Source organism: Homo sapiens, chromosome 14 (genome assembly GCF_000001405.40).
Source record: "Homo sapiens chromosome 14, GRCh38.p14 Primary Assembly".
NCBI classification, from domain to species: domain Eukaryota; kingdom Metazoa; phylum Chordata; class Mammalia; order Primates; family Hominidae; genus Homo; species Homo sapiens.
The window spans coordinates 31,086,262-31,110,266 of record NC_000014.9 but is presented as its reverse complement, the minus strand read 5'-3'; the positions used below and the strand labels follow the sequence as shown (position 1 = coordinate 31,110,266).

Here is a 24,005-nt window from a genome sequence, read left to right as displayed (position 1 = left end):
CTTTGGGAGGCTGAGGCGGGTGGATCAGTTAAGGCCAGAAATTCAAGACCAGCCTGGGCAACATGGCAGAACCCCCATCTCTACTAAAAATACAAAAATTAGCTGGGCGTGGTGGCACACACCTGTAATCCCAGCTACTGGGGAGGCTGAGGCAGGAGAATCACTTGAACCCGGGATAGGGAGGTTGCAGTGGGCCGAGATAATGCCACTGTACTCCAGCCTGGGTGACAGAACAAGACTCCATCTCAAAAAAAAAAAAGAAAAATTGTTTTAAAATTATAATTACCGTTTTGATGGCGGCTTTCAGTTTGAAAGATAGCTTAATCATTTCTAAATTTCTCTGATAGGAAACATTTTTCCTTTTTTTGAATGATGTTGGGGCTTGGACAACAGATTATTATTTTTATTGAACTGCTAAAATAAGGAGGCAAAATATAGACCCAGTACTTTCTCAGTTTGCTTAAGGCAGATTATAATAAAAGGAGTTTCATATATTTTTACTTGTGACAGGAAGCAGTTTATGTAACAAAAAAAGATTACTGTGTTTTAAAAATCACCTGATAAAATACTATTTTTTAATTTCTTAAATCTTTGAATTCTGTTGCTGGTTTAGTAGTACATTCAGCTGTTAACGTATGCTGCAGCTCATAGATATTTTTCTATTTCAGAGCAATAGTATGGTTACAGAACCGACGTGAAGCCACTGTGGAGCGAACGAGAACCACAAGCAGTGTTAGGCGAGATGACCCTGGAGAGTTTCGAGTTGGTCGTCTCAAGCATGAAAGAGTAAAAGTTCCACGTGGCGAGTCACTGATGGAATGGGCTGAGAATGTCATGCAAATACATGCAGATCGGAAATCAGTTCTTGAGGTAATCTCATATAAAATTAGATTTAGGGAACAGGAATGACACTTAGGGAACCAGCCCAATGTGTATCTTCACTGCATTAAAAACTGTGGTAGGTAAACATGAAGAGGGGTTTTCCTGTTCTGTAGGCAGAAGCCTTCTCCTCTGGCAGAGCATCTTTTTCATAAGAGGATGTCAGTCCACCTCCTTAGGGGTTAGGTCTTGTGCCATTAATGAGCAACAAAGAAGATCTCCACTCTTGAGGTGGCAAAGTGCTTGTTCTGCTTGAGGGCTTCTACCCATTTCATAACAAAGTTGGACTAAAATAGTAGTACTCACAAGGGATTCTTTTTTACTTTTACATTAAACTGTGCTGTTTGATATTTTGGGAGCACCTGGTTTTGTAATATTGTTTCACTTGAATTGTGCTTGGTATTATATCACTGGTCTGTGTTGAGACATGTTATAGCAAATGGTAGTATGACATTTAATATATTTAGTTTAGAAATGTTACTGTGGACATTGTTGGTTTTATTTCATATACACAGTATTCCCTATATGAGGAAGAGTGGAAATACGTCTCCTGTCACAGGGGTGAATCCAACTGGTTTGTTTTTAACTTTTGGATCATAAACTAATTGCAAGAAATATGATACATCTCTAGAAGATGTCCAAGGCTTTACATCTTTCACTTTATATACAGACTTTCATTGTATTCCTCCTACCCTTATGTTCTTCTTCTTCTTTTTTTTTTTTTTTAATAGAGACAAGTTCTCACTATGTTTCCCAGGCTGGTCTCAAACTCCTGGGCTCAAGTGATCCACCCGTTTCGGCCTCCCAAAGTGCTGGGATTACAGGCTTGAGCCACCATGCCCAGTTGTTTACATTCTTCTAATATAGATAATCTTTTTTTTTAACCATATGCTGTAGTTTTTATTATACTTTATGCAATCACTTTAAGGGTTTTTGTCCATACTCTTCCTGTTGCAAAAATGATTTAAAGTGTCTTTAACTCAGAAATAAGCAGAAGAGGCGAGGCGCAGTGGCTCATGCCTGTAATCCCAGCACTTTGGGAGGCTGAGGTGGGTGGATCACCTGAGGTCAAGAGTTTGAGACCAGCCGGACCAACATAGTAAAACCCTGTCTCTACTGAAAATACAGAATTAGCCAGGCATGGTGGTGCATGCCGTAATCCCACCTACTTGGGAGGCCGAGGCAGGAAAATCGCCTGAACCCGGGAGGCAGAGGTTGCAGTGAGCTGAGATCGTGCCACTGCACTCCATCCTGGGCGACAAGAGTGAAACTGTCTCAAAAAATAAAAATTAAAAAGTGGAAGAGTCTAGGCTTTGGTGTCACACAGAGACACACAAAAGTCTGTTCACCATCATTTCTTCAAGCAAATGATTTAACCTCCTTATCTGAGATTTGGTTTCCTTTGGTGTAAAAAGGAAATAATTATTTTGCAGGGTTGTTGTGAGAAGTAAATGTATGAATGATGCTTGGCACAGTGCTTAAGCATGTAATAGTGTACAACAAGTGGACTCTTTAGGAAAATTAAAATAACACTTCTGTGCTGTTTATTATATATATACACTGCTATTTTGAAAAAAGGTACATTACTGGATCAGATATGATAAATTTTGACAAGAATTAGATTATTTTTAAAAACACCCCAAACTTTACGTTTAACCCACAATTTATTTGTTCATATTTTAGGTTGAATTTTTAGGAGAAGAAGGAACTGGCTTGGGACCCACATTAGAGTTTTATGCTCTGGTGGCAGCAGAATTCCAGAGAACTGACTTGGGAGCTTGGCTTTGTGATGATAATTTTCCAGATGATGAATCTCGTCACGTAAGAATATTTCTCATTTTGTGACTTGAGTTGTGACTCTGCTTTCAAAAGTGTTAAAAATAGGTTATGTGTTCAGAGCATAAGCCAGGTTTCTGACTCTACTTTTATTATTGAATAATCTTGATGCAATTAAAATAGTTCTAAAGCGATAAAATTTAGTCACCAAAAGCTATTTAATAAAATTATATACTTTTAGATAGCCAAATTCATGAAGATGTTTAATGTTTATGGATTTTTTTCTTAGATGATGATAGGCTTAGTTTCTATTAACTTTTGTTTAATTTTATTTGCATTTCACCCTCTAAAAAATTAGGTTGATCTTGGAGGTGGATTGAAACCTCCTGGATATTATGTGCAGAGGTCATGTGGACTGTTCACAGCACCATTTCCACAGGATAGTGATGAGCTTGAAAGGATCACGAAACTGTTTCATTTCCTTGGAATTTTCTTGGCCAAATGCATTCAAGACAATAGACTTGTGGACTTACCTATTTCTAAACCTTTTTTTAAACTTATGTGTATGGGTGACATTAAAAGCAATATGAGTAAACTGATTTATGAGTCACGAGGTGATAGAGACTTACACTGTACTGAAAGTCAGTCTGAAGCTTCTACAGAAGAAGGTCATGATTCACTCTCGGTAGGAAGCTTTGAAGAGGATTCAAAATCAGAATTTATTCTTGATCCCCCTAAACCAAAACCCCCAGCTTGGTTTAATGGAATTTTGACTTGGGAAGACTTTGAATTAGTAAACCCACACAGAGCCAGATTTTTAAAAGAAATTAAAGACCTTGCTATCAAGAGGCGCCAAATTTTAAGCAACAAAGGTCTTTCTGAAGATGAGAAGAACACAAAATTACAGGAACTAGTGCTGAAGAATCCATCAGGTTCTGGGCCTCCACTTAGCATAGAGGATTTAGGGTAAGCATTATATGTACATTCTTCAATCCAATGCATGAATAAGTTTTAAAGCTTTTGTTTCTTTGTCGTCACTGATTTGCAATATATGAGTAAATAGTCTGTCAAAAACAGTAATATGCTGTAGGAAATATTGATGATCGACTTGAACCTTTGATTTAATATTATAAAGACAACACTCAGAATACTAGAATATTAGTTTATTAATCATCAAACCTTTAGAAGATTACCTGACTTAGCCAATGTGAATTTATATGCCTGTGTAAAATGTCCAGAGCCAACAATATTTTGACAAATTCATCTGCTAATATATGATTCACTTTGCAAAGCTCAAAAATTGGTTGGTATGTCAGCTTTATCACCAAAGGCTGTAGCAGTTGAGATGCTGCAGAACTTTTGATAAAACTCTGTTACTTTATGTACAGGTAATTATCATATCTTCAGCTGTGATTTTAGGTTAACTGCAAGGCCTTTTTTTTTTAATGTTTGCTGATAATGTTGGTAAACTGTGTTTGATAAATGGTTATATATTCAAGGTTTTTTTTAATATATATTTTTGTACACAGCGTGATTGACTTCAGTAAAGCAACAGTTTCTTCCTAAAAGTCTTACAAACATGTTGCTGTCATAATTCATTGCAAAATTTTTAGTTCATTAATTTTGTGCCATAAGTTAGAAGTAAAATATAGAAAGGTGGTTTCATGCAATCTTTGCAAAGCCAGACAGATTTGATAACAGTTGGCCTAGTAGATTTTGTCCATAGAATATTGCATTTAAAAAGTCCTCAACTTACTTCTAAGCTGGTGTACTGATTTTGTTGGAGGAGGAGAGGGGTGGGATTTATGGTTTTGATAGCCATGTTATTTTATTTAATTTTTTCTCTTGTACCCACTGATGGCAGATGATAGTAATGTTATAAAAATTAAACACCATTAGTAGTAGCTGCATGTCAGTTAATTTAATCTTTTTTGTCCTCCCAGTTTAAATTTCCAGTTTTGCCCTTCCTCAAGAATATATGGTTTTACAGCTGTGGATCTCAAGCCAAGTGGTGAAGATGAGGTAAAAAGTTTGCTTTTAATATAGTTGTAAGTTCTGACATATCCTCTTAGCAAGGCCAGTTGTACTAGACACTCCTGAAATATTCCTAGATACTGACAAATTTTCTTTTGCAGATGATAACAATGGATAATGCAGAAGAATATGTGGATTTGATGTTTGACTTTTGTATGCATACGGGTATTCAGAAACAAATGGAAGCCTTTAGAGGTAATTTTAAAGGATTTTTAGCATAATTGCTCTCCTTTCACTTTGAGACAGTTGAAATTATGGTCAAGAATTGCTGGTGGTCGGCTGGGCACGGTGGCTCACACCTGTAATCCCAGCACTTTGGGAGGCTGAGGCGGGAGGATCACCTGAGGTTGGGAGTTCGAGACCAGCCTGACCAACATAGAGAAACCCTGTCTCTACTAAAAATGCAAAATTAGCTGGGCATGGTGGCGCATACCTGTAATCCCAGCTACTGGGGAGACTGAGGCAGGGGAATTGCTTGAACCCGGGAGGTGAGGTTGCGGTGAGCCGAGATCACACCATTGCACTCCAGCCTGGGCGATGAGCAAAACTCCGCTGCACAAAAAAAAAAAAAAAAAAAAGAATTGATGGTGGTCGGGTGTGCGGGTGTGGTGGTGGCTCACACTTGTAATCTCAGCACTTTGGGAGGCTGAAGCAGGAGGATCGCTTGAGCCCAGGAGTTCCAAGACCAGCCTGGGCAACATGGCAAGACCCCATCTCTACAAAACATTTTTTAAAAAATTAGCTAGATGTGGTGGCACGTGCCTGTGGTCCCAGCTACCTGCAAGGCTGAAGTGGGAGAATAGTTTGAGCCTGGGAGGCTGAGGCTGCAGTGAGCCATGTTTGTGCCACTGCACTCCAGCCTGGGCAACAGAGGGAGACCTTGCCTCAACAAAGAAAGAAAGAAAGTGGACATAGGTTGCATACATTCTAGATTACTTGATCAGGATGAATTAACATGAAAGAATCATGATGGGAACAAAGTATATTACAAGGTAAATTACTTTTGAAAATGAGAACACAGTTTTGCCTGACTTGTATGACAGAAAGAGCTGGTGAACTCCAGACTGAGTAGTAATAAGAATTTGCATACTGACCATAGCAACTGAATGTTCTCTCTCTGTTCACGTTTGTGATGTTAAGCAGGGATTTCTAATTTAAAATACAGTTTTAATTTCAAGCTGTCTTAATTTATGCTTGTTTATTCAAACATTTATGAATGTTGAATATTCATCTTCTGTCCATTTCATCGGTAATGGGTATTTTTTTATTGTTGCATAATATATGTACATGTTTATGGGGCATTTTGATACACAGAATGTGTAATGATAAAATCAGTCTTTAGGACATCCATCATCTTGGACATTTATCATTTCTATGTGTTGGGAACATTCAAATTATTCTCTTCTAGCTTCTTTGAAATATATATTATTGTTAACTATAGTCACCCTACTATGCTAGAAAACATTAGAACTTACTCCTTTTATTTAATTGTAAGTTTGTACCCATTAAACTACCTCTCTTCATCCACCCCCACATGCAACATTCCCAGCCTCTGATACCATTCTTTTCTTTACCTTTATGAGATCAACTTTGTTGTTTTTGTTTTTTTGAGACGGAGTTTTTGCTCTTGTTTCCCAGGCTGGAGTGTGATGGCACGAACTCGGCTCACTGCAACCTCCACCTCCTGGGTTCAGGCGATTTTCCTGCTTCAGCCTCCCGAGTAGCTGGGATTATAGGCATGCACCACCACACCCGGCTAATTTTGTATTTTTAATGGAGATGGGGTTTCCCCATGTTGGTCAGGCTGGTCTCGAACTCCCACCCTCAGGTGATCTGCCCACCTCGGCCTCCCAAAGTGCTGAGATTACAGGTGTGAGCCACCTTGTCCGGCCAAGATCAACTTTTTAAGTTCCCACATATGAGTGGGAACATGTGATACTTGTCTTTCTGTGCTTGGCTTTTTTCACTTAATATAATGACCTCCAGTTCCACCCATGTTCCTACAAATGAAAAGATTTCATTCTTTTTTTTTTTTGAGACGGAGTCTCAGGCTGGAGTCCCAGGCTGGAGTGCAGTGGTGCCATCTCGGCTCACTGCAAGCTCCGCCTCCTGGATTCACGCCATTCTCCTGCCTCAGCCTCCCGAGTAGCTGGGACTACAGGCAGCCGCCACCACGCCCGGCTAATTTTTTGTATATTTAGTAGAGACGGGGTTTCACTGTGTTAGCCAGGATGGTCTCAATCTCCTGACCTCATGATCTGCCTGCCTCGGCCTCCCAAAGTGCTGGGATTACAGGCGTGAGCCACCGTGCCCAGCCCATTCTTTTTTATGGTTGCATAGTATTCCATTGTGTACATATACCACATTTTCTTTACACATTCATCCCTTGATAGATACTTAGATTGATTCTGATAATGGGTATTTTGGTTTGAAATTTGGTATTTTGGAATCGTAACTTGGAAACTGAGTTGTATGTTTGTTTTTTGTGTTTCCGTTACATGTACGATGTAGATGGGTTTAATAAAGTTTTTCCAATGGAGAAATTAAGTTCCTTCAGCCATGAAGAAGTCCAAATGATTCTTTGTGGAAACCAGTCACCATCCTGGGCAGCAGAGGATATTATCAATTACACTGAACCTAAGCTGGGTTATACACGTGACAGGTATGTGATACTATTTTCCAAGATCAACAAAATTATTTATATTCCCCAAATCAAATGACAGATTCTCTAAAGAACTTTAATTCAGTGAGTATCATAAAGTAAGTGAGAAAGCAGTGGTGTCTCACAGTTACCAGAATGCATATCCACTGATAAGGCTGGGAGGATACAAAAAGACAACTGACAGCAGGCCGGGCGCGGTGGCTCACACCTGTAATCCCAGCACTTTGGGAGGCTAAGGCGGGCGGATCACTTGAGGTCAGGAGTTTGAGACCAGCCTGGCCAACACGGTGAAACCTCGTTTCTACTAAAAATACAAAAATTACCTGGGCGTGGTGGCAGACGCCTGTAATCCCAGCTACTTGGGAGGCTGAGACAGGAGAATCACTTGAACCCAAGAGGTGGAGGTTGCAGTGAGCCAAGATCATGCCATTGCACTCCAGCCTGGGCAACAAGAGTGAAACTCTGTCTCAAAAAAAAAAAAAAAAAAAAGACAACTGACATCATGGCTGATGTTGATTCCTTTCCTCATTGTGTTTTAATTGTTCATTTTTAAAATTTGGTAAATTGTAAGCTGTTGGGCTATATACTACGTTTATATTAAACTTTTTATTGAATATAACAGATAAGTACACACATCATATATACAGTTTAGAGGATTTTGTCAAAATGAACACACCTGTATAATTGGTATCCAGAATATGAAACAACTTCAAAAATCCCCCTTCCCACCATATTCTTTTCTATTAATCTAATCACCATATGTTGATCAGTTTTGCTTGCTTTTGAACTTTTAATATATGAAATCATGTAGTCTGTTTTCTTTGTGGTCTGGTTTGAGTAATATTATGATTATGAAATTTATCCATGTTGTGGCATGTCGTTCATTTACTATTTCATTACATAAATTTATCACAAGATAATTATTTTGCTGGAATAAAAATTATTTCAGATCCCCTTTGGTATATTTATCCATATTTGAAATGATTTTGCAAGTGCATCCTGTGTTTTTATGATTTGCTGACTTTGTTGCAGAATAGATGGACCCCATACACTGTCAGTATTTTTTAGTTCTTACAATTTGTAAGTTCAAGACAGTCTTTGAGGGATTTTTATTTTTATTTTTGAGATGGAGTTTCGCTCTTATTGTCCAGGCTGGAATGCAATGGCACAATCTCAGCTCACTGAAACCTCTATCTCCCAGGTTCAAGCGATTCTCCTGCCTTAGCCTCCCAAGTAGCTGGGATTACAGGCGTGCGCCACCACGCCCAGCTAATTTTGTATTTTTAGTAGAGATGGGGTTTCACCATGTTTGTCAGGCTGCTGTTGAACTCTTGACCTCAGATGATCCACCCGCCTCAGCCTCCCAAGGTGCTGGGATTACAGGTATGAGCCACCACACCTGGCCCGGGATATTTTTAAAGTAGCTTATATTAGCCCATTTCATACTTAACCAAGAGTCTCTAGATGTGTTGTTGTTCTGGTGTGAGGATATTGTTTTTTAGGGGGCTTGTTGCTGCCTTAGAAAATAGTGGTAGTGATTTTCATTTAAATCTGCAGTCAACTCAATATAACTATATTTTTGTTCTTTTAGCCCTGGTTTCCTGAGGTTTGTGAGGGTTTTATGTGGCATGTCTTCTGATGAAAGGAAAGCATTCTTGCAGTTTACCACTGGTTGTTCAACTCTACCCCCAGGTGGACTGGCTAACCTGCATCCCAGGCTCACGGTTGTACGCAAGGTACAAGCTCTCTGGCTAATGGGGAATCCAAATGAAATTTAGTTACTTTACTTTTGAAAGAAAGAAGTATTTAAACTCATGGTCTTCTGTTGTGTTTGCTTTCTTGTTGTAGGTTGATGCTACTGATGCAAGCTATCCATCAGTCAATACATGTGTGCATTACCTTAAGTTGCCTGAATATTCTTCCGAGGAGATCATGAGAGAGCGCCTGCTAGCTGCTACAATGGAGAAAGGCTTTCATCTCAATTGAGCTTTGAAGTGCAATGGGAGACATCAGAGACTTTAAAAATACTAGTGAAGCCTCTTGTGTTTGTGTGCAGAGAAGTATATGATCCACCATGCTAATGACACTTGCCTTTTTTTCCACCATTAAGGCTTTAAGAACATGTGGAATAAGTTTTTTAGCTGCTAATGACAAAACAAATCCTGTAACTACCCAGCCAGCAAGTATATAGCACAGAACACTGTGTTACTTTACAAGGGCTTATGTGACTGGAATAAGGTGGTCCCACTTGACTGTTCCAAAGAGCAGCTTCTCAGATCTTCAGTGTTCACTGGTAAATTTCTAACAGTGTATTTGTGTAAAGTTTGTCATTTCATACTCCATACACTACAGTTGCTGTCACTGATCCCTGTTTTGCTGGCTTTTAAGCTACTTGGTCAAAAATCCTGCTTCCTTAAAACATAGAGAATTAATGAGCATCTCAAGCTTTTTCTTTTCCTTTTTAATGATGCCTGCACTATCAAGAGTATTCTAGTGTTCTCTCTTTGTTTGGCATATAATCATGCACCAAACTTTTTATTTCTTTAAGGTGGGAGTATATTTTTATTTCCTAAATGCCATACTATGAAGATCAAAGTCTTAAGTGTGTTTGCAGCTCAAAAATAAAGATGTATTAAGGGGGGAAAACCTGGTCTAAGTGCAAGGCACACTTACAGCGAGTTTTACTTTCGGTTGTATTTTCTTTGTATATTATAAACATTTATTTAACTTGTTGCCGTTTGAAGTAAAAAATTTCCAAAATGTATGCTCAACAATAATCATTAAAATGTTTGCAGCGTACAGAACTGTGTCATGTGACTATTTCAATGCAGTCATCAGACTTAAGAGCTTTAGCAGGTACTTGTCATTTTGAATCATCCAAAGTTTTCTGAAATTACTACATAAAGAAATGTGTTTTTCTATAGTAAATACGGGTATTAAAATTGAAAGGCTAGAAGAAATATATATTCACACACTTGTGATCCAATGGTTGGGTTCAGTTTTAAAGTATGCCTCAGCTAGAACTGACCAGTTACTTGTGTTATTTTTTTAAAAAAACACCAGATCCACAACTTAACTATTGTATCTATAAGGATATATAAGTAAGGATGTAAGTGAGATCCAAGAATGATTTTTAAATGTTGTGTGTCAAAACACGGGGATACCGCTGTTTTCTGGTTTTGAAGAAGGGACTGTATTTCCAAATTCCAAAGTAGATTTTCCAAATTCCAGTTATTACCATATCTGTGCTTATAGGTGAAAGGAAAGACACTAGGCCTGATTTAGCCAAATAGCTTTTTTTTTTTTTTTTTTTTCTCTTAAAGACAGGCTCTTGCTGTGTTACCCAGGCTGGTCTCAAACTCCTAGGTTCAAGCAGTCCTGCCACCACAGCTTCTGGAGTAGCTGGGATTACAGATGTGTATCACCACACCTGGCTCAAATGGTTTTTTAAGGAACCAAAAGCATGTTTGAAATTGCCCAGTATCGACCTGTTTAAAAGGCAAATTCTCTGCCTATGAGAGATATCTTCTGCTATAATTACAAGTCTCTAAGATGTCTATCAGTAGTCAGCTTTTACCAAGACTAGCCTGGCACCAGGGTTAGCGAACTATGGCCTGCTGCCTGTTTTTGAATGGCTCATGGCTAAGCATGGCTTTAAAATTTTTTAATTGTTGGGGAAAAAAAATCAAAAGAATAATATTTTATGTGAAAATTATGAAATTTAAATTTCAGTGTCCACAAATAAACACAGCCACGTACATTCATTTACATGGTTGCTTTTGCACTTCAATGGCAGAATTGAGTAGTTAGCAGAGACCATATGGTCCACAAAGCCTAAAATATTTACTATTTGGCCTTTTACAGAAAAAGCTTGCTGAACCCTGGTCTGGCAGGTAGCTACAGCAGATAAATTGATAACTTTACATAAAATAGGGCAGGGCACGGTGGCTCACATCTGTAATCGCAGCACTCTGGGAGGCCGAGCAGGGTGGATCACCTGAGATCAGGGGTTTGAGACCAGCCTGACCAACATGGTGAAACCCTGTCTCAACTAAAAATATAAAAATTAGCCGGGCATGGTGGCACATGCCTGTAATCCCAGCTACTCTGGAGGCTGAAGCAGGAGAATTGCTTGAACCCAGGAGGCAGTGGTTGCAGTGAGCCGAGATTGTGCCATTGCACTCCAGCCTGGGCAACAAGAGCGAAACTCTGTCTCCGAAAAAATAAAAACAAAAAGTTTATATAAAATCATAGCTGTTTTTGAAATATTAGGAGTCTTCCTCAGAAAAAGTCCAAGAACAAGGTAAGGCTGGCCAAATATAAGTATGAAAAGTCACTTAAAGCATCTTAGTGAAGTTATATGGCGACACAGCCTGTAAGAACACATATGCATGAGTCAAGTGTTCTGAGACATCTACCGGGGTCTCCACCTCAACTGTAAGTTCTTAAATATTGTTTCCTATGATACCTACCAACTATTTTTTTTAACTGTTATTCTCTCAAGGTTCTAAAATCTGTGCCGAGATGTAATTCAACTACTATTTTGGTGTGACCCAAAAATTAATTTTGTTCACTCCCTAGCTACTCTGGTGTACCAGTTTCAGCAGTTACCTGAATGTGCAACTGATGAAGTACCTACCAACTAGGACAGTGTTTCCCAGCTAATGTGTCTGAGAAAGACCCTCCATAGCACTTCGGTCTACGCTGGGCTTTCCCCAGACCTTGGCTACTTGATACAAAGGTGTATCTGTACACACAGACCACTCACTGTTCCCACAGGTCAGAAGCCTTCCTTTTGCCTTCCTGAACGAGTCCAAAAACAACTCAGGTTTGGAGTCCACTATTGACTGACTGCATTTTTATAGACATAAACCTTGATATTGCAAGTGGATTTTGAGAACAGGATAAAAAAAAGCTCCACTGCCTACCCCCCACAATACACAGACAAACCAAACGGAACAGTGCTGAATGATAACTCTGAAACGTGCATTTGGCCAGGCGTGGTGGCTCACGCCTGTAATCCCAGCAGTTTGGGAAGCCAAGGCGGGCGAATCACTTGAGGTCAGGGTTTTGAGACCAGCCTGGCCAACATGATGAAACCCCATCTCTACTAAAAATACAAAAATTAGTCCAGTGTGGTGGCACACGCCTATAATCCCAGCTGCTCGGGAAGCTGAGGCAGGAGAATTGCTTAAACCTGGGAGGCAGAGGTTGCAGTGAGCTGAGATCATGCCACTGTATTCCAGCCTGGACAACCGAGCGAGACTGTCTCAAGAAAAAAAATGCATTTATGTCCTATTTTAGAGGCTGGAGTGTCACAGAAGAATGAACTATTGGATCATTCCATAGGCTGGGACAGTATCTTAATATACCAAAAATAGACTTTGGCCGGGCAGGGTAGCTCATGCCTGTAATTCTTGCACTTTGGGAGGCTGAGGTGAGAGGATTGCTTGAGCCCAGGAGTTTGAGACCAGCCTGGGGAACATAGTGAGACCCCGTCTCTATATTTAAAGGAAAAAGATTTCTACTTTCTTCATTGCACCTGACCTCCCACCCCTACATGCATATATATAGTAGACCTCCCTATTCTTGGGGGATAAGTTCTAAGACCCCCAGTGGATATCTGAAACTGGGGATATCTGAAACTGAGGATAGTACCAAATCCTATATATAGAGAGAGAAAGAGAATGTTTTTTCCTATACATACATACCTATGATAAAGTTTATAAATTAGGCACAGTAAGATTAACAACAATAATAGAACAATTATTACAATATAAGAAAGTTATGTGAAAGCTGGGCATGGTGGTGTGCACCTATAGCTCCAGCTACTTGGAAGGCTGAGCAGGAGGATGGCTTGAGCCCAGGAGTTCAAATCCAGCCTGGGTAACAGAGACCCCATCTCTTACAAAACAAAAGATGGCCAGGTGTGTTAGCTCATACCTGTAATCCCAGCACTCAGAGGCTGAGGTAAGGAGGATCGCTTGAGCCCAGGAATTCAAGACTAGCCTGGGCAACATATGGAGACCTTGTCTCTACAAAAAATAAAAAAAATTAGCTGAGTGGGGTGGCACACACCTGTGGTCCCGGCTACCTGGGAAGCTGAGATGGGAGGATTGCTTGAGCCCAAGGGGTTGAGGCTGCAGTGAGCCGTAATCATGCCACTGCACTGCAGCCTGGGCAACAGAGCAAGACCCTGTCTTTAAAAAAAAACGAAAAATAATTTTATATATATATATGTATATGCATGTAGTCTCTCTCAAGACCTTATTGCACTGTACTCACTCTTCTCATGATCTGTCCATCTGGTAACCAAGACAGTTACCAAATGACTGTCAAGTGGGGAGTGTATACAGCATGCATATGCTGGACAAAGGGACGATTCACCTCCCAGGCAAGACGGAGCGGGACAGAGCAGGACAAAGTGGGATGGTGCAAGATTTCATCACACTACTCAGAATGGCATGCAGTTTAAAACTTATACATTGTTTATTTCTGGAATTTTCTGTTTAATATTTTGGGACCTCAGTTGACCATGAGTAACACAAACCACAGAATGCGAAACAGTGGATAAGAGAGGGACTACTGTACATACTTTCGCCTAAGACAGTTCTGTATATTCTTCTGTTAACGGGGTAGCAAAAGCATATAGAAAGGTTTTGGGGGGATGCAGTGCATTGCTCTTCTGTAATGACAGTAATTTACTTCAAGACATTGCAGGAGAAGGGGTTAAAGGAGTAAAGGGGAGGAAGAGAAGGATTCATTTCATGCCTACCTGTACAGAGACACTTTCTTGCTTTCTACTTTTTTTTTTTTTTTTTTTTTTGAGACGGAATCTCACTCTGTGCCCAGGCTGGAGTGCAGTGGCACAATCTCGATCTCAACTCACTGCAACCTCTGTCTCCTGGGTTCAAGTGATCCTCCTACCACAGCCTCCCAAGTAGTTGGGATTATAGGCGCGTGCCACCATGCCCGGCTAATTTTTCGTAGTTTTAGTAGAGACAGGGTCTCACCATGTTGGCCAAGCTGGTCTTGAACTCCTGACCTCAAATGATCTACCCACCTTGGCGTCCCAAAGTGCTGGGATTATAGGCGTAAGCCACCATGCCTGGCTGCATTCTACTTTTAAACTTTGAACTAAATTTCATTAACAGTAAGCTTATTAATAAGCAAACCTTTTAAAATGTGGCATAAAAAGACTGGGCACAGTGGCTCAGGCCTGTAATCCCAACACTTTGGAAGGCGAAGGCAGATGGATCATGTGACTGCAGGAATTCGAGACCAGTCTGGGCAACATAGTGAAACCCTATCTCTACAACAAAATACAAAAATTAGCTGGGTGGAGGGGGTGCGCACCTGTGGTCCCAGTTACTCAGGAGGCTGAGGTGGGAGGAGCACCTGAGCCCAGGAGGTACAGGCTGTAGTGAGGCATGATCACACCACTGCACTCCAGCCTAGGAGACGGAGATGCTGTCTCCAAAAAACAAACAAAAAACGGGATAAAGGATAGCTGTAGGGGCTCTCTGGGGCTGTCTTAATGTCTGACCATCCATTATTTGAAAGTAATGTTCTCTATAGAGTTAATTACATAATGGCATTGTAATTACTAAGTGCCCTTAAAATGAGTATCAAAGGCTTTTACAAACTGGCAAATAAAATTTAACTCTGCATCTTTGTTAGGTACATGTTATAAAAGTTTTTTTGTTTTGTTTTTGTGTTTTTGAGGCAGGGCCTCACTCCATTACCCAGGTTGGAGTACAGTGTTGTGATCATAGTTCACTGCAGCCTCAAACTCCTAGGCTTGATCAATTCTCCCATCTCAGCCTCTTGAGTAGTTAGGAGTACAGGTGCTCACCACCACAGCTGGCTAACTTTTTAATTAGTTATTTACTTATTTTTAGAGACAGGGTCTCACTCTGTCGCCCAGGCTGGAGTGCAGTGGCATGATCTCGGCTCACTGCAACCTCTGCCTCCCGGGTTCAAGCAATTCTACTGCCTCAGCCTCCTGAGTAGCTGAGATTAGAGGTGCTTGCCACCATGCCTGGCTAACTTTTTGTATTTTTAGTAGAGACAAGGTTTTGCCATGTTGGCCAGGCTGGTTTCAAACTCCTGACCTCAAGTGATCTGCCTGCCTCGGCCTCCCAAAGTACTAGGATTACAGGCATGAGCCATCACACCTATTTATTTTTTGTAGAGATATGGTCTTGCTGTGTTGCCCAGGCTGGTCTTGAACTAATGGGCTCAACCAATCCTCCTGGCTTGGCCCCCCAAAATGTTGGGATTACAGGCCTGAGCCACCGCACTCGGACTTTTTTATTTTTGAGACAGGGTTTCACTCTGTCACCCAGGCTGGAGTGCAGTGACACGATCATAGCTCACTGCAGACTCGAACTCCTGGGCTCAAGAAATCTTCTGCCTCAGACTCCCGAGTAGTTGAGACTACAGGTATGTGCCACCACACCCGGCTGATTTTTGCATTTTTTGTAGAGATGAGGTCTATGTTGCCCAGGCTGGTCTTGAATTTCTGGCCTCAAGCGATCCTCCTTCCTCAGCCTCCCAAAGTGCAGGGGTTACAGGTGTGAGGCACTGCACCAGCCCCACATTACAAAGCTTTTAGAGCCAGGCCAGGAAGGTTCAAGGTTGTAGTACAACATGATCATGCTTGTGAAAAGCCACTGCAGTCCAGCCTGGACAACACAGCAAGACCTGCTTCTCTTAAAAACAAACAAACAAAAAACACCTCTTGGCTGGGCATGGTGGCTCATGCTTGTAATCCCAGCACTTTGGGAGGCTGAAGCAGGTGGATCACTTGAGGTCAGGAGTTCAAGAACAGCCTGGCCAACATGGTGAAACCCTATCTCTACTAAAAATACAAAAATTAGCTGGGCTTTACATAAAACCGGGCAGGGCATGGTGGCTCACATCTGTAATCACAGCTCAGTCTCCTGGGGACTACATGCCTGTAGTCGCAGCTACTCAGGAGGCTGAGGCAGGAGAATTGCTTAAACCCAGAGGTGGAGGTTGCAGTGAGCTGAGATCACACCACTGCACTCCAGCTTGGGTGACAGAGCAAGACTCCGTCTTAAAAAACAAAACAAAAAAACAAACAAAAAAACACCTCTTAAAAAGTTAATTTTACTAAGCCTTTTAAAGGAATAAGACAGCCTTCAGAAGTCAGGCACTGTGGCTCATCTGTAATCCCAGCGTTCTGGGAGGCTGAGGCAGGCAGATCACCTGAGGTCAGGAGTTTGAGACAGCCTGGCCAACATGGTGAAACCCTGTCTCTACTAAAAATACAAAAATTAGCCAGGTGTGGTGGTGCATGCCTGTAGTCCCAGCTCGGAGGCTGAGGCAGGAGAATCGCTTGAACCCCGGAAGTGGAGGTTGCAGTGAGCCGAGAATGTGCCAGGTGACACAGCTAGACTAGACTCCGTCTCAAAAAAAAAAAAATAGCTTTCAGAAAACAGCGTTACTCAAAATGCCTTGTGTTTAAATTTTAAAACTTTATTGGCTGACGGAAAACTGCCATACTTTCTTCCCACTACCATCCTGCTATTCCTGAATTCAATTTGCAAAAGAAGCATAGACCAAGAAGGGTTCCTTAGGTGCTCAACAGAATTTAAAGTGCGACAGATATGTTTACAATTAGAAAATAAAACTTCTCTCTCAGTTTAAAGAAATTTTTTTCTTTGTACATATTTTAAAGTACAGTTGTGTTTTCTTTTTAGGAACTGTGGAAAATGCCTATTTATAATGTCTTTGGAAGGATACCCCATTTTGTAATTGTGGTCTTCCAGATTCTTCTGGGTTAACATGTTGAGATGTATTCCACGGTACTCGCATTTCTGATAAATCCATATTGTCTCGAAGAGACTTCCTTTCAGCTTTCTGACATCTTATCAAGAATTAGTAGAGGGGCAAGAATTCTTGCCCTGTTAGTTTCCACAATGCAGCCATTTAACACCATCTCATCCAAAATGATGTGTACTTTATCCAAATTAAACATTATCTACGGTTATATTAAGGAAATTAGTTTAAAGTTAAAAATTATTAACATTCAGTAAAAATTTATGGCTTAACCTAGAGTGTTCCCAGTGTAAATTAGCCTAAGCATGAGGTTTTTTGTACAAAATTTCTGAAATTAAATTTAAAACTGGCATCCATATTAGAAATTGTTACCTTCATATATACATACCTAGTTTCACCTTGGTTAAGCTAACAGGATAAGTAGGGATAAAAATGAAACAGCTACATTTTTTAACCAAAGGGATAGGGGGTCTACTAAGTGCTAGAGAACACAGCAGTGTCATGTGGCAAGAGAATGACCTTAACTCAAAAATAGTGTTGTCTTCCCAGACAATAATAGTAACAGTAGCAACGATTTGTTGAATACTCCCGTTCCAGACAGTGTGTTGAGTTTCAGCCCTCTACAAATCTCTGATGTATGTTGTTACATATTATCCTCAGTTTACCCAGGATCAAACAGGTTCAAAGCATAGTCCAAGGTCACATGGCTAGTAAATGCCAGGTTTGAATTTAAACCCAAAGCTTGGGCTTGACTGCTCTGCTTATAGGCTCCTCAGGAGGGGCTAGACACCTCCCTCCTCAGCCCCCAAACCTCCACCCCAAAATAAATGCCTTGTACCTTCAGTTTTCTTCTCTGTCAGACAGACTGATGTAAAAATAACTATGAGGAGAAAATGAATGAAGAAGGCAGGGCATAATAAAATTTCTGGATTTCAAGACAGTATCTCTTACAAATGGGTAGTTCTAAGAAGTCATTTGAGAATGATGGAGCCACTTTGGCTTACAGGTGTTCTTACTGGGAAGTTAGTATGGGGCATGGGGAAAGAAGAAAATATTGTTAGACTATGATGTCTAGCAAACCACAAAGAACTAAATACTTCCCTCAAGAATCCCTTCAACTGAATACCTAACTTTTCTTTGGTGAAAGAAGGGGAACTGGAATGAGATGATGACAATGAATGTTTCTCAGTTTTACACCTTAATATCTGAAGTTCTCTGTCTACTTAAAGAGCATGATCCTGGTCTGTTACAAAAACAAAAACAGTTGACAGATTGTTTCAAATAAACTTCATTCAACAAATAGGTAATTAAATGCACTAGCGGAGTTCAAAATTAAATCTTTGTAAAGTGAATTGTTCCCTTTGATTTTTTTCAACCAGACCAGATATTCAAAGTCTACACTGTATTTGCTTAGTGAAGTGCAACTACACAGAATAGGACAAATGGTGAATGACTTTAAAGTTTTTATTAGGCTCTGTGTGAATATCTCATTAAGCTCTGTGCAAATAGTCCTCCAGCAGAATAAACTGTTTTCCAAGGACCCATGGGAACTGTCCTTAAGTGACCCAGAAAAAAAAAAAAAAGCGTTATTCTGATATACCTATTAATACTGTCTTTCAATTATACAGATGATTGCTTTGTCCCACGGCCAAACTGGGACTGGAATGTTAGGCCCTTGACTCTAACCTGTTCACTAGACCCAGAAGCCAGAACTTAGGTGAGACAAAGTGGGAATGGCAGCCAGGTATATATAGAAAGGCAGAGCTAAGAAGCACAGGTGGCTACGTGAAAAATGGCCTGGAGAACCTTCCTGTTATATTCACTAAGGGCAATGAAAGCCTTAGTGCCTTTGAAAATGTCGCCTTCTCCAAGATAACTTTCTTTGAGATACAAGGAAATCTAATTTTAACCCATGAATTAGTTCGGGGATCAAGCTGCTCTGTGGACTGCCCCATCTTTGGCAAGCAGATGATCTGCTGTTCAGATGTCCCCTTGAGCAACTGCCCAATTGTTTTGAAATTCAGATCAGAATTTACTGCTAAATCATATAAACCACTGACATCCCCACATTACAAGGAACAAGGACAAGGTCCTCCAGCAAGTCAATTTCCCAACATCCTGGAAACATGAGTTGCTCAGTGAGGTCACTGTATACTGTGGACATGTGACTGTGCCTGTGTATCTGTGTATCTGACTCAAACTCTAATAATCATGCAGCTTTCTGGCACTATATGGGGAAACTACAGACCAAATCCAATGTGAGGCAAAGGCCTGAAAGCTGATTTCCCCCTGGAATCTTGTGACTCTTTTAAAATAAGAATCCAGCTGTTGTTTACATCTTGATTTGGTTTATGAGCAACTTGTACACCCTGGTGAGGCCAAGAGTAATGGCATTTAGGCCATGTGCCAGGTAAGCAGGGACCAAAAAATACCCTATATGCTAAGCCCATGGAATAAACACACTGCAATGGTGACATTTGAAATAGGAGGAAGTAAGAAGGGCCCAGACTGTTGGTATACTAATGTAGTGAGCTCAGAATGGCTATTGAAAGACAGTCTTACCTTCAGGCTATAATGAACTTGACTGACTCTAAAGATCCTCAGGCAACTTGTTTTCTTTCATGGGCTCCCTAAGGTTGAGCTGACATGAGCTAGAAACAATCTCCCAAAGAGCGGAGTTACTGAAGTCCACTTTCTCCCAACCTACAAACCTAAGAGCCTTTCTGAATTTTCACATCATGTGGATTGGAATTGAACATCGTAGGGCTCCTGGAATATTAGTGCCACTTGAAATCAACTTTTTAATTACAGTGATTGAAATGAGGCCGGGCACGGTGGCTCACACCTGTAATCCCAGCACTTTGGGAGGCTGAGGTGGGCAGATTACGTGAGGTCAGGAGATCGAGACCAGCCTGGCCAATATGGTGAAACCCTGTCTCAGCTAAAAATACAATTAGCTGGGCATGGTGGCACACGCCTGTAATCCCAGCTACTCGGGAGGCTAAGGCAGGAGAATCACTTGAACCTCGGAGGCGGAGGTTGCAGAGAGCCAAAACTGTGCCACTGCACTCCAGTCTGGGCAACAGAGTAAGACTCTGTCTCAGAATAAATAAATAAATAAAAATGAAAATAAAAATAAATACAGTGATTGAAATGTTTATGGTCCCAACATTGGAATTTTATCTTTTTTTAGACGCAGCTTCTCTCTGTTGCTCAGGCTAGAGTGGAGTGGGGTGATCTAGGCTCACTGTAACCTCCATCTCCTAGGTTCAAGGAACTCTTGTGCCTCAGCCTCCTGAGTAGCTGGGAGTACAGGCATGTGCCACCACACCCAGCTAGTTTTTTTGTATCTTTAGTAGAGACGAGGTTTTGCCATGTTGGCCAGGCTGGTCTCTATAACTCCTGACCTCAAGTGATCTGCCTGCCTCAGCCTCCCAAAGTTCTGGGATTACAGGCGTGAGCCACCACGCCTGGCCCCAACATTGGAATTTTGATCTCTGGAAAATAAAACACTTTTCCATCATGAGTATTTTAACACCATAGTGGCAATCAAATTATCCTTTAACAAGTGAGAAACTGAGCAGCACAGACTCAAATGGAACCTCAAAAGGAATTCCACGGCAGAGACCAACCTAGAAACTACAATTTCTAACTCTAGATTTGGGTCTCAGATCCCTTGGTTTCTCATTTTATTTCTTTTTTTAAAAAATATTCTAGCTAAGTGTTCTTTAACAAAATATGTAGGGTGGGAAAACTTGCTTTCTCATTATTCATACTTTAATTTCCCACCAAATTAGGTAAGTGGCCAAGGGCCACTGTGTTCACATTTCCCCCAGAAAATACTACCATATAGAAGGCTATCATCATGAAGATTCTGCATAGTCCTGGAGACATTCTTCTTGTAGTATAGTATAGTCTTCTGTTCACTTTTTTTTTTTTTTTTTTGGTTAAGACAAAGTCTTACTCTGTTGCCCAGGCTGGAGTGCAGTGGCACAATCTTGGCTCACTGCAGCCTCGACCTCCTGTGCTCAAGTGATCCTCCCACCTCAGCCTCCCAATTAACTGTGACCACAGGTGCGCTGCCACGCCCATCTAATTTCTATATTTTTTGGAGGAACGGGGTTTCACTATCTTGCCCAGACTGGTCTTGAACCCCTGGGCTGAAGTGCGGCACTTTGCCTTTCTCGGCCTCACAAAGTGCTGGAATTACAAGCATGAGCCACTGTGCCCGGCCCTGTTCACATTTTGTCTCTTGCTAATGAGGCCACTGAAAAGGACTTTTTTTTTTTTTTTTTTTTTTTGAGATGGAGTCTTACTCTGTTGCCCAGGCTGGAGAGCAGTGGTGCAATCTTGGCTCACTGTAACCTCCGCCTCCCAGGTTCAAGCGATCCTCCCGCCTCAGCCTCCTGAGTAGCTGGGATTACTGGTGCGTGCCACCACGCCCCGCTAATTTTTGTATTTTTAGTAGAAGTGAGGTTTCACCATGTTGGCCAGGCTGGTCTCGAACTCCTGACCTCAGGTGATCCGCCTGCCTCAGCCTCCCAAAGTGCTTGGACTACAGGCGTGAGCCACCGCGCCTGGCTGTTATCTTTTTTTAAAGTAGGTTTTCATTAAAGGCCTACTCATATTCTGAGAACAACAGGATACCCAGCTGTGGTTTTGCTTAAAGTTTATGTAGGCTTATGCAAAATTAAATATGAAAGTCAGAGGTGGGTCAACGAGCCTGTTATTATTCTCATTTTTCCCCTAAATCTCTCTTGCTTCTCATAACTTGCTGTCACTATTCCTGACTAAAACAGAACCCACAAAAATGGAACAAAAGGAATAGGGTTAAAGCAGAGGGACCTGGTGGTGAGGAATGCTGGCGGATGAATATGGCACCTAGCGGGCTCCTGAAAGGAAACAGGAAAGTGGTCAAGGCTAGTGGGAGCCAAAAAAAACCTGGAGGCAGAACTGTCAGATTTGCAACGTTCACATCTTCCGGGCTACTGGCTGAATCCTGGGGACTGTTCCTATCCAAGACTCTCATCACCCACCATGGCCCTGGCTAGAGCTCCCATGCTGGAGAAGGCCCTGGGTCCCTCGTCTCTCAATGCCTGCCCTTCCCATGGAGGAACAGCTGCACACGTTCCCTCGGACCCACAGGCCAGTCCTCACTCTCTGGCAACGAGGCTTTCCATTTAATATTTTCAAAAGGAAAAAAGATGTTTTGAAATCTGAATGTGAACTCCACTTTTGGAGAGCATGTTCTCAACAAGACATTCACAGATACTCTCAAATTTTTTCATCCTTTCTGACTCTTCCAACCAAAGGCATTTCTCTAAAACATCTCCCCTTATTCACAAAAAAGCTTCGACAACACCAAGGCACCATGGTGACAGGCATGTTTTATTAGAGACTAAATTGCCACAGTCTACTCCAGATGATTAATTTTTAAAAAATATGTCAAATTTAGGCCAGGTGCAGTGGCTCACACCTGTAATCCCAACACTTTGGGAGGCCAAGGTGGACAGATCACTTGAGGTCAGGGGATCAAGACCAGCCTGGCCAAAATGGCAAAATCCTGTGTCTATTAAAAATACAAAAATTAGCCAGGCATGGTGGCAGGCTTGTAATTCCAGCTACTCAGGAGGCTAAGGCAGGAGGATAACCTGAACGTGGGAGACAGAGGTTGCAATGAGTTGAGATTGCACCACTGCACTCCAGCACGGACAACAGAGCAAAGCTCCGTCTCAGAGAAGAAAAATAAAAAGAAAAAAAAGTCAAATTTAACCTACCCAATTTATAATCCTAGAGTCAAGGGCCCTAGAAACCCAGAAACTAGTACCAGCTCTTCCCTAAAGTAGCTCTATGGATTGGGACATGTCACAGAACCTCTTTGGACCTCAGCCTTTTTATCTAAAAAGTGAGGTTTTACACCAGCCAACAGTGACTCACCCAGCCCTATGGGAGGCCAAGGTGGGAGGATCGCTTGAGCTCCAGAGTTCAAGACCAGCCTAGGCAACATAGTGAAATGCTGTTTTTATTTTAAAAAATTTTTTTAAATTAGCCAGCTGGGTGTGGTGGTGCATGTCTGTATTCCCAGAACTATTTTTTTTTTCCTTGATATTTTTGTTTTCCTACTCTGGAAGCTGAGGTGGAAGGATTGCTTGAGCCCAGGAGTTTGAGGCTGCAGTGAGCTATGATCACAACACTGCACTCAAGCCTGGGCAACAGAGCAAGACCCTGACTGTAAAAAAATTTTTTTACATTAATTTTTAAAAGTGAGGTTTTTACCTGATGATTGTGTAGGTTTCTCCTAGCTCCAAAGTATCCGGCTCCTACGACTCTAAATATAACCTTCAAGGAAAGTGGAGCTGGTTTACTCTTTTCTGATAATATCAAGCCATTCCTGGCTGGGCGTGGTGGCTCATGCCTATAATCCCAGCACTTTGGGAGGCCAAAGGGGGCGGATCACCTGAAGTCGGAAGTTGGAAACCAGCCTGGCCAACATGGCAAAACCCCGTCTCTACTAAAAATACAAAAAAACTAGCCAGGTGCGGTGGTGCATGCCTGTAATCCCAGCTACTCCGGAGGCTAAGGCAGGAGAATAGCTTGAACCTGGGAGGCGGAGGTTGCAGTGAGCCAAGATCACACCACTGCACTCCAGCCTGGAGTGAGACTGTCTCAAAAAACAAACAAACAAACAAACAAACAAATCAAGCCATTCCTGAAGTCATCACATGCTCCATCATACCTCGGAAGAAATTCTTTTGTAATGATTTTATTAATTAATTAACACTGTAACTTTCTGAGAGAACATGCAGAAAATTTCAGTTCATTTAGAAGCTGCCACTTCAGTGCTGGA

At 41.3% G+C, this 24,005-nt stretch overlaps 2 protein-coding genes across 24 annotated transcripts in view; one reads left to right on the top strand and one right to left on the bottom strand.

Moving 5' to 3' along the window:
• Window positions 1-10,150, top strand: part of HECTD1 (HECT domain E3 ubiquitin protein ligase 1) — a 107,677-nt gene extending 97,527 nt beyond the window's left edge. For all 21 annotated transcript variants that reach the window (XM_017021153.2, XM_047431208.1, XM_011536621.3 and 18 more), the window contains 8 exons: window positions 669-870; window positions 2,563-2,700; window positions 3,014-3,621; window positions 4,599-4,677; window positions 4,791-4,884; window positions 7,201-7,351; window positions 8,943-9,087; window positions 9,200-10,150. In XM_017021153.2, the coding sequence (XP_016876642.1) occupies window positions 669-870; window positions 2,563-2,700; window positions 3,014-3,621; window positions 4,599-4,677; window positions 4,791-4,884; window positions 7,201-7,351; window positions 8,943-9,087; window positions 9,200-9,337 (1,555 nt within the window). In that variant the 3' untranslated portion in view covers window positions 9,338-10,150. The remainder of the gene's footprint in view (window positions 1-668; window positions 871-2,562; window positions 2,701-3,013; window positions 3,622-4,598; window positions 4,678-4,790; window positions 4,885-7,200; window positions 7,352-8,942; window positions 9,088-9,199) is intronic.
• Window positions 13,817-24,005, bottom strand: part of AP4S1 (adaptor related protein complex 4 subunit sigma 1) — a 71,345-nt gene continuing 61,156 nt past the window's right edge. For all 3 annotated transcript variants that reach the window (NM_001254729.2, NM_001128126.3, NM_001254728.2), the window contains exon 6: window positions 13,817-17,360. In NM_001254729.2, coding sequence (NP_001241658.1) covers window positions 17,232-17,360 — 129 coding nt within the window. In that variant the 3' untranslated portion in view covers window positions 13,817-17,231. The remainder of the gene's footprint in view (window positions 17,361-24,005) is intronic.